Source organism: Homo sapiens, chromosome 6 (assembly GCF_000001405.40).
Source record: "Homo sapiens chromosome 6, GRCh38.p14 Primary Assembly".
Lineage (NCBI taxonomy): Eukaryota > Metazoa > Chordata > Mammalia > Primates > Hominidae > Homo > Homo sapiens.
The window spans coordinates 66,851,788-66,872,686 of record NC_000006.12 but is presented as its reverse complement, the minus strand read 5'-3'; the positions used below and the strand labels follow the sequence as shown (position 1 = coordinate 66,872,686).

General features: G+C 33.5%; 1 long non-coding RNA gene across 1 annotated transcript in view; it reads right to left on the bottom strand.

Moving 5' to 3' along the window:
* Window positions 1-20,427, bottom strand: part of LOC107986540 (uncharacterized) — a 37,452-nt gene extending 17,025 nt beyond the window's left edge. Inside the window, exons 1-2 of the long non-coding RNA XR_001743881.1 lie at window positions 20,232-20,427; window positions 18,264-18,371 (exon numbers count right to left, since the gene is read on the bottom strand). This is a non-coding gene — a long non-coding RNA (uncharacterized LOC107986540). The remainder of the gene's footprint in view (window positions 1-18,263; window positions 18,372-20,231) is intronic.
* Window positions 20,428-20,899: the final 472 nt, after the last annotated feature.

Below are 20,899 nucleotides of genomic sequence, written 5' to 3'. Positions count from 1 at the left end.
CAAAATTGGTAGACTGCTAGCAAGACTAATAAAGAAGAAAAGAGAGAAGAATCAAATAGAGGCAATAAAAAATAATAAAGGGGATATCACCACCGATCCCACAGAAATACAAACTACCATCAGAGAATACTATAAACACCTCTATACAAATATACTATAAAATCTACAAGAAATGGATAAATTCCTGGACAAATACATTCTCCCAAGACTAAATCAGAAAGAAGTTGAATCCCTGAATAGACCAATAACAGGCTCTGAAATTGAGGCAATAATTTATAGCCTACCAACGAAAAAAGTCCAGGACCAGATGGATTCGTGGCCAAATTCCACCAGAGGTACAAAGAGGAGCTGGTACCATTCCTTCTGAAACTATTCCAATCAATAGAAAAAGAGGGAATCCTCCCTAACTCATTTTAGGAGGCCAACATCATCGTGATACCATAGCCTGGCAGAGACACAACAAAAAAAGAGAATTTTAGATCAATATACCTGATGAACATTGATGCAAAAATCCTCAATAAAATACTGGCAAACCGAATGCAGCAGCACATCAAAACACTTATCCAACACCATCAAGTCGGCTTCATCCCTGGGACACAAGTCTGGTTCAAGATACGCAAATCAATAAATATAATCCGTCACATAAACAGAACCAAAGACAAAAACGACATAATTATCTCAATAGATGCAGAAAGGGCCTTCAAGAAAATTCAACAGCCCTTCATGCTAAAAACTCTCAATAAACTACATATTGATGGAATGTATCTCAAAATAATAAGAGCTATTTATGGCAAACCAAGAGCCAATATCATACTTAATGGGCAAAAACTGGAAGCATTCCCTTTGAAAACCAGCACAAGACAAGGATGCCCTCTCTCACCACTCCTATTCAACATAGTTTTGGAAGTTCTGGCCAGGGCAATCAGACAACAGAAAGAAATAAAGTGTATTCGATTAGGAAATGAGGAAGTCAAATTGTCCCTGTTTGCAGATGACATGATTATATATTTAGAAAACCCCATCGTCTTAGCCCCAAATCTCCTTAAGCTGATAAGCAACTTCAGCAAAGTCTCAGGATATAAAATCAATGTGCAAAAATCACAAGCTTTCCTATACACCATTAACAGACAAACAGAGAGCCAAACCATGAGTGAACCCCCATTCATAATTCTTACGAAGAGAATAAAATACCTAGGAATCCAACTTACAAGGGATGTGAAGGACCTCTTCAGGGAGAACTACAAACCACTGCTCAATGAAATAAAAGAGGAAAAAAACAAATGGAAGAATATTCCATGCTCATGGATAGGAAGAATGAATATTGTGAAAATGGCCATACTGCCCAAAGTAATTTATAGATTCAATGCCATCCCCATCAAGCTACCAATGACTTTCATCACAAAATTGGAAAAAAACTACTTTAAAGTTCATATGGAACCAAAAAAGAGCACACATTGCCAAGACAATCTAAGCCAAAAGAGAAAAAGCTGGAGGCATCACGCTACCTGACTTGTATACTACAAGGCTACAGTAACCAAAACAGCATGGTACTGGTACCAAAACAGACGTATAGACCAATGTAACAGAACAGAAGCCTCAGAAATAATGCCACATATCTACAACCATCTGATCTTTGACAAACCTGACAAAAACAAGAAATGGGGAAATGATTCCCCCATTAATAAATGGTGCTGGGAAAACCTGCTAGCCATATGTAGAAAGCTGAAACTGGATGCCTTCCTTACACCTTATACAAAAATTAATTCCAGATGGATTAAAGACTTAAATGTTAGGTCTAACACCATAAAAACCCTAGAAGAAAACCTAGGCCATACCATTCAGGACATAGACATGGGCAAGGACTTCATGTCTAAAACATCAAAAGCAATGGCAACAAAAGCCAACATTGACAAATGGGATCTAATTAAAGAGCTTCTCCACCGCAAAAGAAACTACCATCAGAGTGAACAGGAAACCTACAAAATGGGAGAAAATTTTTGCAATCTACCCATCTGACAAAGGGCTAATATCCAGAATCTACAAAAAACTCAGACAAATTTACAAGAAAATAACAAACAACTCCATCAAAATGTGGGCAAATGATATGAACAGACACTTCTCAAAAGAAGACGTCTATGCAGCCAACAGACACATGAAAAAAGGTGCATCATCACTGGTCATCAGAGAAATGCAAATCAAAACCACAGTGAGATACCATCTCATGCCAGTTAGAATGGCAATCATTAAAACGTCAGGAAACAACAGATGCTGTAGAGAATGTGGAGAAGTAGGAAAGCTTTCACACTGTTGGTGGGAGGGTAAATTGGTTCAACCATTGTGGAAGACACTGTAGCGATTCCTCAAGGATCTAGGACTACAATTACCATTTGACCCAGCAATCCCATTACTGGATATATACCCAAAGGATTATAAATCATGTTACTATAAAGACACATGCACATGTATTTTTATTACAGCACTATTCACGAACTAACCCAAATGTTCATCAATGATAGACTGGATTAAGAAAATGTGGCACACATGCACCGTGGAATACTATGCAGCCATAAAAAAGGATGAGTTCATGTACTGTACAGGGACATGGATGAAGCTGGAAACCATCATTCTTAGCAAGCTATCACAAAGACAGAAAACCATACTCCATGTGTCCTTACTCATAGGTGGGAATTGAAAAATCAGATCACTTGGACACAGGGTGGGGAACATCACACACTGTTGTGTGTGATGGGTTGTGGGGCTGGGGGAGGGATAGCATTAGGAGAAATACCTAATGTAAATGAAGGGTTGATGGGTGCAGCAAACCAGCATGGCACATGTTTACCTATGTATCAAACCTGCACATTGTGCACATGTACCCTAGAACTTAAAGTATAATTTAAAAAAATAGCTTTTACTTTTATCAAACATACATACTTTAAAAATCAAGTAGACTTGATAAGGCTAGTATAAAAACCCTGACTAGCCCTACATTATCATTTTCTTCTCAGAATCAATCACTTTCAGTCCCTTTAACCAAGTTTGGTAGTGACATACTTTCTTTCAATATTTAGTTCATCTTCAGGCAAGAGTGGGAAAAGGATAGGATAGTCCCTTGTACAGTGGAGAAAGATAGTCTTTTCAATGGTGTCAGGCACACTGGACATCTACATTCAAAAGAATGAAGCTGGGCTCTTCCCTTACACCATATACAAAAATTAACTCAAAATGAATGAAGGACTTAAATGTAAGACCTGAAATCATAAACATTCTAAGGGAAATAATAGAAAAAGAATTCATTGATCTTGGCCTTGGCAGTTATTTTGCAGACATAATTCCAAAAGCACAGTCAACAAAAGCAAAAATAAACAAGTGGGACAACATGAAACTAAAAAGTTTCTGCAGAGCAAAGGAAACCATCAACAAAGTGAAAAGCCACCCCATAGAATAGGAGAAAATAAATTGCACACCGTATATCCAATGTACATTAATATTCAAAATACACAACTCAATAACAACAAAAACAAAAACAAGTAACCTGATTAGAACGTGGGCAAAAGACTTGAACACATATTTCTCCAAACACTGCAAATGTCTAATGGGTATGTGAAAAGGTGCTCAGCATCACTAATCATGAGGGAAATGCAAATCAAAACTATATGAGCTATAACTTCATACTTGGTAGGCTGGCTATTGTCAGAAAGTAAAATGATAACTATTGACAATGTCGAAAAAAAAGACACCTTGTACACTGTTGGTAGAATTATAAATTGCTACAGGCATTATGAAAAATGATATGGAATTTCCTTAAAAAACTAAAAAATAGGGCTAAGTTAAGATCCAGCAATCCCACTTCTGGGTACATATCCAACAGAATTGAAATCAATATGCAGAGGAAATGTTTGCACACCCATATTCATTGCAGCATCATTCACAATAGCTAAGATATGGAAACAACTCAAGTGTTGTTGGATGAATAGGTAAAGAAAAGATGACATATACATTGAGTAGAAATATTTTAAGTGTCTGTCAATGGATGAATGAATAAAAAAAGATTTTATGTGTGTGTGTTTCTGCGTGCATGTTTGCATATGTGTGTACAATAGAATATTATTTAGCCTTTAAAAAGCCTTTCATAGATGAAGAAATCCAGCAGTTGTTAAATGTTTTCAGTCAGAAATACATATTTCCAGCACAAATAATAATTTTTAAAACTATTCCAGTATTATGTATTGCTGCATGTCAGTTGGAGTGAAATTTTCAGAGACAACATCTCTAAGGAATTCTAATGATATGTCACAGACGGAATAGGTGAATACAAAATGACTCATTTTGGAAAAATAAAGGTTAGAAGGTTCAAAACTGGCTATGCTGATGAGAAACACAATGATTCTTCTGTGCTTGCAATGGGCCTGAAAATAAAAAAGAAACTTATGTTCTTGAATCTTGGTATTAAAAATACCTCTAAACATATTAATTTACATGTAATTTTAAATGTTTATGTGTAATATCTATTATGCTTAACTATTGCTATAAAAGTTTAATTCTCTAAAGGATTCTTTTATCAAGCCAGACAAAAAGCTCTTTTGTAAAGTCTTCTCATTGTGAAAATGGGACCTGTCTCATACTTGAAACATGTTATATTTAGGTGTTTGTCTTAATCTATCTTTCTCTAATACCTTCTATTCATGTAGATTTTCTTAATAATTGTATTTTATTAAGGGAATGACTCCTGCAAAGATTAACTTAAATATTAAATTTTATTGATAATAAAAACATGATAACCCCACTCATGCCATTTATTAATAATTTTCCTCTTTCTAGAGCAAAGTGTCAAATCGTATAAAGGATTTTACATTTTCAATTATCACCAGAATGTTCTCTTATTTGTTTCTAACAAAGATGGAAAACAATATCTGATTGTATTAGAACATATCTGATCTGGTAACTGAATGCACAAGATTCATGTTAATTTCCCTTTGCTGTTCATACTTTAGACCCAGAAAATTGTTGCATTTTTAAAAGGATAAAAATATGAATCTTATCAGATATATTTTAGCTTCCATATCTAGTCACTTCAAATGCTAGATATATTTTGCTACAGATCTGTCTTATGTAATATGTATAACATTAACATGATCTTAGACACTTATTTGTGGCAACTAAGCTTATGGTCTGATAACTTTGGTCAGTGAGTATACATTGATTTAAATTAAATATAAAACCCACATGAGAAAATATAGTTTTATGTCTGGCTTCAGTCACAAGGCCTGAACAATCTGACAAGAAAATTCTTATTATAGTTATTTATGGAACTATTACATTGAAAAATATATTGTCTATTCAAGAAAGCACAAAATACTACAGTTTTTTAATGTGGGATGTTTGTACTCTTATTTTATTTTACTTATATTATTTTCTGAGTGGAATTAACAATCTTAATTCTTAAAACTACACAATAAAATTTATCAATGACAGATTTCTACTCTTCTAAAGCATTCAGTCCTCATCACTCCCATTTAGAAATATTACGTGTGATCTTTATTTCAATATAATTAATCAGAATCTGTATTGTTACCAGTTTGCCTCCCATATTTAATCAAAAGAGCCTTGAAGATGGGTTTTTACCTTGTTACCAATCTGATCATTGAGTCACCCAATATGCACATCACCTACTTGGGGTTAAATAAATACTAAATGACTCAGCAAATGAAAGAAGTTTGAATCCATTAAGGTCTGGACATCAGGGCTTTATTTATTATGTTTGCTAGTATATAAAGAAAATTGTGCTTCTTATTCCCAGATCAGGTTTTCCTCACTGAATAGTGGACAGGGTGGACACAAAATGTGGTAAGTATATTCATGTAGAAGATGACAATATGTATCCTTTCATATGGTTCAAACACAAAAAATAAACACACACACCACTTTTTGGTATTAAGTATATTGGTAACATGATATGTTGATTCAAAATATATAACTAATTCTATATTAGATTGAATTCAATATATACCACATTTACTAACCAGATCTGGAATAATTTACAAGTGTTATGTAAATTAGGTTGTAAAGATCACTTGTAACACAAGAAACTTCACAATTTAAACTTACGACTCAAAAGGTCAGTTAGTCAATTACTTGTTTTTCCCCTAGAACCATGTTTGTTGCTTAAGTACAGGATTTTGGCACATAGTATTAATAATTTATGTTTCCTTTCTTCTATAATCTTGAACTAAATTAAAACAGCAAATAGGGATAGACAGAGTGGTATGAAAAAATGAGGATCTAAGCCTAACAAAATGTTCATGGAAGGCAAATGTTAAATATTAACTTTATTATGATTAATTTGGAAAACTAAGCAGTCAATTCCAATAAACAAGTGTTATGAATATAAATGATAAAGGAGACACACACATGTGCATGCACATACACACACACATAATTTAGGTCTTAAGGTATTTAATCTCATATTTATCAAGTTTTTGCTCACTTTGCTAGGCCATTCTATAACAGTAGTAATACATATACATTTTACTATTAACTAACCACAATTTTATTATTAAAATATTAACTTTATATAATAATAGCTAATGCCTTCTTCTTAATTTAATATGTGTGACTGTACATAAGTAGCAAATCTGTGTTCTTATATTTGTTTTTTAAATGATTCAGCCCTTAACAATGATCCAAGGAAACCTCAAAAAGTGTGAGCTGCTGTTGTCTGTATTCACAGGGCATGTCATTTTGCAAATATTTAAGGAGCACTAAGCTGTATCATTTCCTAGTATTTAATGACTGAGAGGTAAAGGTCAAATTTGTCTCTCTGAGTATTAGCTTTCTCTGGTACTCTAGAGTTCTGAAACTCTGATAGTGATAAAATATAGATAATTTTATTAAAAAGACTGTTCAACTCACTGGTAGTACTGTATGGTTCTGCCTTCTTAAACAGTAACATCTTAAATGTTCTTTTGATGGAGTTAGTCCTACAGGGTTATTTTTCACAGTTTGTTTCTCATTTCATCAAAAATAAAATAAGATAAAATTTCCAAAAATTTCAATGTAGTTATTGCTGAACTTGATATTCCAAGATTACATATGTGTGTGTGTATATATATATGTGTGTGTGTGTGTGTATGTGTGTGTGTATTATACATATGTATATATAAAAAATTTAACAGAAAGCCTATTATTGTTCCACACCAAAGGTTAGTTTCAACAACTCATTCTACGTATTCTAAGAATTATATTATTATTCTGAGTCATATATCTAAATTTAAACAATCTTTCTATAAATATAACATGTTTTATTCATAAAAATCAATTGTTTTATTCACTTCGTATAAGAAATACAATAGTAAGCCCCTATTTGCATTCTCTTTCTTGTTCCCACAGAATGGGAATTTTTAATATTCTATTTCCCAAATTTAATATTCTTTCACTTCTCTCCCACAGTATGTTCCCCCTGTAAGAGTCAAAATGTTAATGACATCCCCATTCTGTTTCATTCATCTGCATGTTTGTCATGCCAGTACCATAGGGTTTTAAGTACCATAGCTTTGCTATATATTTTGAAATCAGGCAGTGTAATACTTCCAGCTTTGTTCTTCTTTCTCAAGGTTACTTCAGCAATTCAGAATCTTTTGTGGTTCCATATAAATTTTAGATTTTCTCTTCTATTTTTGCTAAAAATGCCCTTGGAATTTTGATAAGTATTATATTGAATCTGTATACTGCTTTAAGTCATACAGACATATTAAAAATATGAAATCTTCCAATCCATTATCACATGATAGCTTCCCATTTATTTGTGTCTTTAAAATTTCCGTCATCCAGAGCGAGACTCCATCTCAAAAAAAAAAATTCTGTCATCAATGTTTTATAGTTTTCGGTGTACAGATCTTTCATTTTCTGGGTTATGTTTATTCCCAAGCACATTATTATTTTTGATGCTATGGTAAACGGAATTGTTTCCTTATTTCCATTTTTGGATAGTTCATTATTCATGTATACAAAAGCAACTAAATTGTGTATGTTGATTTTGTTTACTGTCAATTTGCTGAACTTGTTTATTAGTTCTAATAAGTTTTTTGTGGTGTCTTTAGGGATTTTTATATATAAGATTCCGTCAACTGAAAAAAGAGCAATTTTATTTCTTTCTTTTCAATTTGGAGTTCTTTTATTTATTTTCCTTGCCTAATTGCCCTGACTAGCGCTTTCAGTACTATGTTGAATAGAAGTGGCAACAGAAGGCATCCTTCTCTTGTTCATAATCTTAGAAGAAAAGCTTTCTATAAAGACACATGCACACGTATGTTTATTGCGGCATTATTCACAATAGCAAAGACTTGGAACCAACCCAAATGTCCAACAATGATAGACTGGATTAAGAAAATGTGGCACATATACACCATGGAATACTATGCAGCCATAAAAAATGATGAGTTCATGTCCTTTGTAGGGACATGGATGAAATTGGAAAACATCATTCTCAGTAAACTATCGCAAGAACAAAAAACCAAACACCGCATATTCTCACTCATAGGTGGGAATTGAACAATGAGATCACATGGACACAGGAAGGGGAATATCACACTCTGGGGACTGTTGTGGGGTGGGGGGAGGGGGGAGGGATAGCATTGGGAGATATACCTAATGCTAGATGACGAGTTAGTGGGTGCAGTGCACCAGCATGGCACATGTATACATATGTAACTAACCTGCACAATGTGCACATGTACCCTAAAACTTAAAGTATAATAAGAAAAAAAAAAAAGAAAAGCTTTCTAATGTGTAGCTAAATTTGGATTGCTTGTATTTTGTTGGAGATTTCTGCATCTATGTTCAACAGGAATATTGGCCTGTGGTTTCCATTTCTTATGGTGGCTTTATCTGACTTTTGTATCAGGGTAATGATAGCCTCATAAAATTAGCTGGGAAATGTTCCCTCCATTTCAACTTTTTAGAAGAGTTTCAGAAGTGGTGCCATGAATTTAGTTTTAAATCGTTGATAGAATTAACCACTGAAGGCATCTGATACTGGATTATCCTTGTTGGAAGGTTTTTGATTACCAATTCTATATCCTTTCTCATTATTCATCTGTTCATATGGTCAACTTATCTTCAACAGAGATGTTAAGAAAATACAATGGGGAGAAGATAGTTTCTGTAATAAGTTGTGCTGGGAAAATGATATAAACGTTCAATAGAGTAAAATTGGATCATTATGTCAGACACAAAAATCCACTCAAAGTGGACTAAATACTTAAATTTAAGATCTGAAAGTATAAAACTCTAGGAAAACAGAAGAAAAACTTCCTGAAATTGGTGTAAGCAATGATTTGCTGCATTTGACAAAAAATGTACATGCAACAAACACAAAAATAGACAAGTGAGACAACATCAAATTTTGCAGAAAAGCTTCTTTAAGGCAAAGAAAAAAGGTCAACACTAGTTGGGTGTGGAGCGCATGCCTGTAATCTCAGCTGCTCAGAAGTTGAGGCAGGAGGATTGCTTGAGCCCAGGAGTTCCAGGCTGAAGTGAGCCATGATAACACTACTGCACTCCAACCTGGGTGACAAGTAAGATTCTGTCTCTGTGAAAAGGCAACATATTTAAAGAACACATATTTGCAAACCATCTATTTAACAAGGGGTTAATATCCAAAGAGTGTAAGAATCTCCTATGTCTCAAAGCAGAATAAACAACCTAATTAAAAAATGAGCAAAGGACTTGAATAGGCATTTCTTCAAAGAAGACATACAAACAGTTGCCAGGTATATGAAAGGTGCTCAATACTACAACTAATTAGGAAATGCAGATCAAAACAACGATGAGATATCACCTCACACTTGTTAGGATGGCTATGATAAAAATAAGTAACTACAAGTGTTGGCAACTATGGGGAGGAAGAAAACAAAAGCAGAGTTGATGGAAATGTAGAATGCTTCAGGCACCATGGAAAACAGTATGCAGGATCCTTTAATAGTAATTGCATTAAAAATAGAATTGCTACATGATGAAGCAATCCCACTTCAGGAAATATATCCAAAATAATTTAAATAAGGTTTTGGAAGAGACATCTGCACCCCAATTTTCATGGAGGCATCATTCATAATTACCAAGATAAGGAAATAATCTACATGTCTATCAATAGACAAATAGATAAAGTAAATGTGTTTCAAATATTATTCAGCCTTAAAAAAGGAAGAAAATCTTACTGTTTGTGACAACATGAATGGACCAAAACATTATGCTAAGCGAAATAAGCCAGTTATAAAAGGATTTCATGATTCCACAAATATAAAGTATCTGGAATAGCCAAACTCATTGAAGCAGAGAATACAATGGAGCTTGCCAGGGGCTTGAGATGGGAGAAAATAGGAGATTGTTCCTCATTTGTTATACAGTTTCAATGGTGCAAAATGAATAAGCTCTAGGGATCGATGTACAACATAGTTATCTGCAGTTAACAAAATGGTATTGTTCACTTTAAAACTTATTAAGAGGATAGATCTCATGTTAAGTGATTTTACCAAAAACAAAAACAAAGAAAAACCCCACCAAAGGACAACATAACTCAAGGAAATTTTTGGAGATGATGGATATGTTTAGAATCTTGATTGTAGTATTCGTGTCATGAGTTTATACATATATTGAAATTCATCAAAATTTAGACACTAAACATGTACGATTTTGTATATCAATTATACCTCAATAAAGGTTAAAGCAATAAATACCCAAAATATTTGACTGCTTGTTTTTAAATGTTTTATGTACTTAACATTCTTTATTTTCCCCTTAATGTATTGGTTTTATTTAGCAGGCCTTGATGTGGTCCTATAGACAATTTTGAAAATGCACTTTAAAACGGAACCTTTAAGTTTGACAAAAATATGAGAGAGGTTGCATTCAATGGGATTTGATTTGTGAAGAATTCACCTCCCCCTTTCCAATGGCATACATGTGCAAACTTCTATTGTTGCTATGATGCCAAACATATTGGAAATGTTTAAATTACTGACTGTGAGGGTTCTTTACAACTGGAAAAAAATCATTATTTGATTTTTTATCCATAGTAATGCAAAAAAATATGTTAAACACATTTTCTCTTACTTCTCCTCCTCCTTGTTTTTTTCTTTATTTCTCCTCCTCCTTCTTCTTCCTTTTAGGACTAGCAAGATGATTTAATCAGCTCTAATCCATTTTTGTTGGCTATCCTCTAACTCACTGGCCTAATTATGAATTCCTTCATAGTACAAAATGTTTCTTTTTGTTTTGATTTTTTAAAATACAAAAGCCACTTTATGTTAATTCAATTATTTTGGTCTGTTGTTTTCTATTTTTTTAAATGAAAGTTTCCTGTTCGTGTATGCATGCCAAGTATAAAAAAAATCAAGATCTGATCAAATTATTCTGTTGTTTTAAGTGCCTTACAGCATTACATTTGTTTCCTTGGAATTCATGTTGTGTACAGTCCTAGTGCCATTATCTTGTTTCTCTGCGCTTGGTCCAAGGGTTGGGTGAGATCCACAAACTTTCACTCAGATTTCATTATAGCATTGATATCTGAGAAAAAAAAAACCCTTAACTTTCTTCTGATGTTTTTAAGCTTGGAGAATATAGCTGCTGACATTCATCATGTTCACAGTACTGATCAAGTTTGCATTTAGTATCAAGGCCACCATAGACAAATAGAGCTTATAAATGGATAAAGAACCTAACTAGCATTCTTGAGGTCCAGGGATTCAATATCTTCCAAATCCAAGCCCACATCTAGTCTTCCCAGATAAAAGCTGAAAAAAAAAATGTTTTCATTGATTTTTTTCTTAAACATAAGTTAGAATTATTTCAATTGAAATTATAATAGTCCAAGAGGTATTTTAAGATTAATATTCTCTTCAGATTTCTATTGCTATCTTTCTCTTTCTGATACTTTCTTTAATGTAATAATAAAGGTAACTAGTTTGCAGTCAAAATTGGTTCTATCTTGAGAAATATTTTGTCTCATTAAGACAAACTTACATATCTGCAATGGTCCCATATGTGTTAGCTTTATATTTAATCTAAAAAAAAATCCTGATTTCCCTTATTTTCAAATCTTTGGCAGGCCACTCATTATTGCTGCCAGGCATTCCTACACACTCTTTCTTATGTTCGTCCAATTCACAGTTCTAAATGTGTACTTTAACAGCGTACAGCACAAATCTTCTATCCACTCTTTATGGAAGTTCTCTAAATACTTTATGGAATCTATCATGTTCCCGTAAGCTACATTTTATTCATGGTGAAATTACCATTTGTTCCTCATTTACAAGATATCAAAAATCTCAGTTACATTCATTGCCTTCTTGGAGTTACATTCCAGATTGTCAGTTTTTCTTTTAAAATATTACATGAAATTTACTAAAGACCACAATTTAGGTTTAGGATGGAAAGTGACAATAACATCTGTCAGGTGTACTTAGTTTATACACATTTTGTCAAACTAAACATATTATCTCATATGTAGAAAAGTCCTGATGCTGGACAAATATTCAGATATCTCCACAGTTAGGTTTGAGATATCCCTGCAAATTCTTTATTTTTTTATTTTGTATTTTTGAGATGGAATCTTGCTCTGTTGCCCAGGCTGGTGTGCAGTGGCACAGTCTCGGCTCACTGCAACCTCTGCCTCCTGAGTTCAAATGATTCTTCTGCCTCAGCCTCCCGAGTAGCTGCAATTACAGGCATGCACCACCCCCAGTCCTTAATTTCTGCATTTTTAGTAGAAACGGGGTTTCACCATGTTGGCCAGACTGGTCTCACACTCCTGACCTCAAGTGATCCAACTGCCTCAGCCTCCCAAAGTTCTAGGAATACAGGCATGAGCCACTGCGCCCAGCCCAAGTTACCCCTGTAAATCTTTTACTATGAGTTGGATAACTCAGAGTCAGTAAACTTTGATAAAACTAAAGGAAGCAGTATAAATACTTTCCAATTAAATTTTTAAAAAAATTATTTGCATTAGACACTTTCTGTTTCCCTGGGTTGGGAGGTCTGTTCTTCTCTAACCTCCCTGCTTTCTAACTCCAACCAGTCACAAACTCAGCCCAATCAAACCTTCATCAGGATAGTCATGTTTTCGGTGTAAGATTGACTGCCTATCTAAGCTGCTACAACTCCAGCAATAACTGGAAGTTTTTACCTTCAAATATATGACTTTTATTTCTAAAGATTAAATTTTCAAAATGGTCTTGATTTGGTTTTAAATCAATGAAATGCTAGTGAAATCATGATGGAGTGTATTTAGATGAAGTTTTAGAAAAAGATCATTTTCTTCCACTGTGCGTCTAATAAAAACCATTTAATAAATTCTTTCCTTGACTGGCTGACAGGGTCATCTTCCAGAAGATTGGGAACATAACAAGGAAACTTCAATTTTTACTTAATTTTGACAAAAAGACCATCCTGCCTACAGAGAAATAGTGATGAGAAATGTAGGGAAAAAATGTATCAACTTCATGAGTATAGTTGGAAGTACATTCTTCTCTGCAGAAAAGCAGATTTTAATATTTAAGAAGATAATGAAATAATTCTGTGGTAATATAATATAACAACTTAGAAAATTTTAAGAGATTGAAGACAATATAGGACACTGACAAAAACCACCCAATTCTGGACATGCCACTTATGAATGATATAAACTTTTGCATTATCTGTAACAGAAGGATAATAATTGTGCATATCCAAGGCTTTGTTAAGAAGCTTGAATGAATTAAAATATATAAAATGCTTAGACAAGCACCTAGCAAAGGATCTGATTGAGACATTTTAATAATAAAATTCTGTAAATTTAATAAATGATAAGTAGAAGAAAAAGGAGCACTATAAAAACAAGTGATGTAGCAGCTCAGATAATTTTCCAATAAGGATTAATGTATTTCATAATAGGTAAAGAAGGGATACTTAACTATGGACAAATACGTGTATAGAATGAAAATATCATAGTCCCAGTGTGTATACTACAAAAATAAATTGGCACTAGTAAAATACATCAAAAAGAGCAAGAACATTTATGAATATGGATATACTCAACATTTTAGGCAAATCTTAAAGAAACAAAAAGAACTACTAAATATAATATATTTGCTTTTTCTCTATCAATGAGAACAATTTGCAAACTGAAAAGTGTTTGAGATGTATAGCTGTGAAACCTCTTCTCTGTGACAAGTGAAGAAAAACATTAAATCAATTGAAATCTCTAGATACTGAGGATTAAAAATGTGATGTGATAAATAATTTAAAGTGTGATTGTGCAATCATTGTTGGCTATCATCTATGAAGTGTTACAAACAACAGGTTAAGGGCCAGAATTTAGAAACATGTAAATGATACTACACTTTTATAAACGGGAAAATAATATATTTTGGAACCTACAGGCAAAGTGCAGTAAAAGTTGTCGCTGGCAAAATTTGGATACCAAATATAAGCCAAAGAGTTTGTAAGCAAATTTGTAGTTGACAAAGAGCCAGGCTTACAAAATTCTAAACCCAGTCTTTCAAGTTTCTTGTTTTGTAATTCTGGTCAAGCTATCTCACTCTCCTGATTTACGAGTTTTCTCGTCTAAAATGGAAAAGATTATGTCAGACACTATTTGATGTCTATTTTAACTAGAATATTTTTTAAACTTATAACTGTGTGATTCTGCCATTGGCACTGGCAAAACCTCCCAAACAAAACATGTTTTGTTGTGTACATATTTGTGTGTACAAATAAAAGATGATAAAAATTAAAAGTAGCTTTGTTAAATAAAAATAAATCTAGACGGATGACATCAGGAAGACAGTGGAATATGAGGCTCCTGACTTTCCCACCTCCCACAAAGTTACAGAATAAACATTTCACACATGAATCAATTCCCTCTGAGAAAAAGCTAGAACTAGTTGAGAAATGCCTACATGTCAGGCAACTGTGAAAATGGACACGTAGAAATGGATAGGAAAAGATAAGACACATTGGCTCACAGACCCCTCCCTGGCACAGCACCTTATGATCAGAAAGGAATTACCATCTCCTAGTTTCTCCTTGAGGAATGAAGGGATTGGGTCATGCATATAGCACCCCAACTTCTGTATCTTCACTTTCTTGCCCAGAAGGTTTGAATATTAAATTACGTTGCATTTGGGACAAAACAGACTCTGCATTTCCAAGTCTCCCTAATCTAATGTGAACAAAAATATGGTTTTTAATAAGTACACAAGCACTTCCAGCAGCTATAACCCTCAGGATCACTGCAAAGAGAACAGGCTAAAATCCCCAGCTACCAGTTTTTCCCTGGAAGGGAATCTTCTGCGTATTTTTCCAGATGCTGCCCGAGTGTAGGCTTCTAAGGAGCTAGAAGCAGAGAGACAATGGGGCAAATAAACAGTGGGCCTCTGAGAGTCTGAATGGAAAAGTGGGCACTTTCTTTTCTTTATTCCCCAGCTAACTCCAGTGATAAATTCAGGTCTTTATATTTTCCCAGGAAGGAGGGTGTGCATTCATTGAGTGCCCCAACTTTTAAAACTGCCACCAGAGATACTGGTTTCTAAATGACCTAGCTCTGGGAGTTGAAGTGGTTCTCGATTCCCAAGTCTCTCTAAATCACAGAGATAAGGAGGTGGCTTAAAAATGGGTTCACTTACAGCTGCCATCCTCCAGTGTCAGAGTGTGGGGTCTGAGTGAGAGTGCAAGCATATGTTGCAGATTTTCTCCCATGCTTACTGGAGAGCCTACTGTAGAGAAAACTCTAACTCAGCTTTTCCTTAAAGATCCAAAGAATTAAAAGACATACCTAACATGCTAACTTTTACAGCTACATCTTGAGGAGCTGAGTTTTATCTCACCTGTTTCGGGGGTACTGACAGAACTTGGCACACCTTAATATCTTGGGGACCCTTAAGGACAGAGGCAATGGTTTGGACAAGCACAAAGGTTTGAGAGGTATCTAGAACTTCTAGTTGGACAAAATTGGTGAAGTTCTCCTTCTACAGGAAGACAGACTGACAAGACTGGGAAAGGGGGATTGGCTTATCCAATGAGCAGAAACCATAACAAACAGTTAAAAAAAAATGAAGCCATAATGTTCCAATTAAAATAACAAGATAAATCTCCAAAACACAACCTCTATTAAGTAAAGATATGAGATTTACCCAATAGAAAATTCAAAGGAATTTTCATACAGATGTTCACTGAGACCAGGAAAGCAGTGCATGAACAAACTGATAATTTTAACAACAAAAAAAGAAAATATAAAAATGTACCAAACAGAAATCATAGAGCTAAAGAATACAATACTTACACTAACACATTCAATAGAGTGAATCAGATGCAGATTAGATAAATTGGAAAAAAAGACCAACAAACTAAAAAACAGGTAATTAGAAGTCAGTCAACCTGAGGAGCAAAAAGAAGGGAATCTTCATGAAATTATCAGTACATTTTTTAGGAGAAACTTTGAAGAACAGAAAGAAGTAGAATGATATATTCAAAATGTTGAAATAAAAGATTTCAAATGAATAATCCTATAATTAGCAAACCTGTCCTTCAAAAAATAAACCTTTTAGACAAATGAAAGCTGGGGGAGTTCATAATATTTATGCCTGCCTTAGAAAACATGCTAAAAGAGGTTCTTTAAGTTGACATAAAAGGTTTCTAAACACCACCACAGAAACATAAGAAATTTCGACACTCATTGGCGAAGGTAAAAATATAGGCAAAAAAAGAATATTTTATTACTATAATAGTAGTAAGTTAATTAATTATAATCCCACTAAGAAGTTAAAAAATAAAAGTATTAAAAGCAAGTATAACTACATTATGTTAATAGAAGCAAAATGTAAATAGTTGTGACAACAATAGCAAATAAAGTGGAGAGACGAAACTTAAAATTATAGATTTCTTGGATACAAGAAATTTAAGTTGTTACCAACTTAAAATATACTGTTACAACTATAAGATTTTCTACGTAGGTTCCTTGGCAAACACAAAAATAACTGTAGCCATTATACAAAGGAAAAATATAGGTATGAAACCATTGCAATATATATATATATATACATATCTAAAAATAAAATAGGAAGAAAGAAAGCAAGATAGAAAAAGAGAGACAAAAGAACCACAAGACAAACAGAAAACAGTTAACAAAAATGCCAAAGGTAAATTCTTTCTTATTCAAGAATCACTTTAAGTGTAAACGAAGCAAACTCCCAAATCAAAAGATATAAATTGTCTTAATGAATAGTAAACAAGATCCACCTATATGTTGTCTATAACAAACTCAGTTTAGATTCAAGGGTACATCCTGGTTGAGAGTAAGAGATGAAAAAAGATACTTTATTCAAGTGGTAACCAAAAGAAAGGAGAAGGTCAGTGTGCAGATGGGTGGGAAAATTAGAAAAATAAAAGTAGTGGCTATACTTATGTCAGACAAAATAGACTTCAAGTCAAAAACAGTCTTTAGAAACAAAAAAGATGATTACATTATGATAAAAGGATCAATTCAATAGGAAGATATAACATATGTGTATATATACACTAAATATCAGAACAGGCATATATATATATATATAACGTTTCACACAATAGCAAAAATATCTACATTCTTCTCAAGTACATACAAAATATTCTTCAGTATAGGTCACATAAAAGATTACAAAATAGGACTTAACATATTTAAGAGCAAAATTGTACCAAGAATCTTCTTTGACCACAATGGAATAAAACCAAAAATTGGTAATAGTAAGAAAATGAGAAAACTCACAAAAACATGGAAATGAAACAACATACTCTTGAGCAATCACTGGGTACAGCACAGGTCAAATGGGAATTTAAAAACTATCATGAGGCAAACTAAAATAGAATTGAACAAACTTATGGGATGTTGTACTAGCCAGGGTTCTCCAGAAGAACAAAACCAATGGGATATAAGTGTATATGAAAGGGAGTTTATTAGGGAGAATTGGCTCACAGGATTATAAGGTGATAGGCTGCGAGCAAGCTGGGGAAAGTGAGAAGCCAGCAGGGGCTTATTCCAAGTCCAAAAGCCTCAAAACCAGGAAAGCTGAAAACTCAGCTGCCAGCCTGAGGCTGAATGCCTGAGAGTCCCCAAGAAACCGCTGGAGCAAGTTCCAGTGTCCAAAGGCCCAAGAACCTGGAATCTGATGTCCAAGGGCAAGAGGAGCAGAAGCAAGGATCTGGCATGGAAAGAAGAAAGGGAACCAGAAACTCAGCAAGCAAAGTTGTCCCACCTTATTTGTCTGCCTTGTTCTAGATATACTGGCAGCCTATTGGATGGTGCCCAATCAGACTGAGGTTGGGTCTTCCTCTCCCAGTCCACTGACTCAAATGTCAATTTCCTGTGGCAAACAGACACAGAAATAATACTCAAATGTCAATCTCCTCCTCACAAACATACCCAGAAACAAGATTTTACCAGCCATTTAGGCATGCCTCAATTCAATCAAGTTGACACCCATGAAGTTGACAGCAAGCTGACACTTAATCATAACAGATATAGTAAAAGCAGTCATGAGGGAAGTTTATAGCAATAAATTCCTAAATTAAAAAGCAGAAATATCTCAAATAAACCATCTAACTTTACACTTCACAAAACTAGACAAAAAACAAACTAAAGCAAAGTTAGTAGAAAGAAGGGAATAACAGATCACAGTAAAAATAAATGAAATAGAGAATAGAAGAACTACAGAAAAAAATAAAAAATACCAAAGTTTTTTTTAATAAACAAAATCAACAAACTCTTAGCTAGTTTGTCAAAGAAAAAAGAGAAAAGATTCAAATAAAATCAGAAATAAAAGAGGAGACGTTACAAATAATGACTCAGAAACTGAAAAAGATCATAAGTGATTATAAACAATTATATGTAAATAAAGTAGATAAACTAGAAGAAATTCTTAGAAACATGCAACTTATCAAGACTGAATCAACAAATAGAAAGGCTCAATAGACCAAAAACAACAAAGACTTGAAATAATAATCAAAAGTCACCCAGTGAAAAAAAAAACTCAGGACCACACAGCTACACAGCTGAATTCTATCAAATATTCAAAGAATGATTACCAATCTTTTATGAACTCTTTAAAAAAATAGAAGTAAAGGTAATATCTCCAGCATCGCCTTGATACCAGGTCAGACAAACACAAATATAAGAAGAGAAAGCATCAGAACAATATCTCTTATGAGCATAGATGCAGAAGCCCTAAAAAAATATTAGCCAACCAAATTTAATGTCACATAAAAAAGATTATACAAAATTACAAACAGGGATTGATCTTGAAGTGCCAAGTTGTTAAAAATAGGCAAATTCAATTGACATGATATAGCCCATTAACAGAATAAAAAGATAAAAATCACACAATCATTCAATAGCTGCAGAAAAAAAATGACAAAATTTGACATTTGTTAATTATAAACACATTTAATTAAATGTGTATAGAAATAAATTTTCTCAACTTAATAAAAACCATTTATAAAAAGCCTACAACTAATATCATAAACAATGGAGCAGAACTCAAATCCTTTTACATAAGATCTGGTATGAGGCCAGGATACCCATCTCCTCATAGTACTAGAAGTACCATTAAACATAGTACTAGAAGTACCAGCAAAAGCATTCAGACAAGAAAAGGAAATAGAAGCAATCCAAATTATAAGGAAAGAAATAATTATCCTTGTTGTAGGTGCTATAATCCTATGTATCACATGTCCCTAAAGACTCCACAAGAAACTGTCAGAACTAATCACTGAATTAAGTAAAATAGCAGGATACAAAATCAACATGCAAATATAAGTTGTATTTTTATGTTAATAATAATCTACCCCAAAAAAAGGAACTTAAAAAATCCCATTTATGATAGCATCTTTAGCCAAGCAAGTGAAAAATCTATATACTGAGAATTTAAAAACTTCAATGAATAAAATTGAATCAGACACAATAAATTGAGAGATATCCTGGATTTGTGAATTAGGAGACTACCTAAAGTGATCTTCAGATTCCATGCAATTGCTTTCAAAATCTCAATGGCATTTTTCACAGAAATAGAAAGACAATCCTAAAATTCATTCAGAACCACAAAATACTGTGAAGAGCCAAAGCACTCTTAACGGAAAAGAAAAACACAACAAAAAAGCTGGAGGCATTACACTTTCTTATTTCAAATTATACAAAAATATAGTAGTCAAAATAGTATGATACTCACATAAAAAGCAGACACATAGACCAATGGAACAGAATAAAGAGCTCCAAAATAAACTCAGTGTATACAGCCAATAATTTTATGAGGCCATGAAAATGACAAAATGGTTAAAGGATTTTGTGTTTTCTTCAATAAATTTTGATACAAAAACTGGATAGCCGCATACAGAAGCCTAAAGTTGGACCTTTGTTTTACACCATACACACGAATCAACTCAAAGTGGATTAAATAACAAAATATAAAATCTTACATCATAACACTCCTGAAAGAAAACAGGGAAGAACTCCCTGATGTGGATCTTGGCAATAGTTCCGTGGATATGAAACCAAAAACACAGCCAACATAAGCAAAGTGTCAGTGGGACATCAAGCTAAAATGTTCAATCCACCACTTGAAAAGGCAGTTTAGAAATTGAGAAAAGATAATGCAAACCACATATCTAAAAAGGGTTTAATTTAAAAAATATATGAGTAACTCATAAAATTAATTGTAAAAAAACAAATACAGTCATGCACTGCATAATGACATTTCAGTAAAATGATGAATAGCATGTATGGTGGTGGTCCCATAAAATTATAACACCATATTTTTACTGTACCTCTTCTATGTTTAGGTATATTTAGATACACACATACATACCTTTGTATTAAAATTGCCTATAGTATTCAATA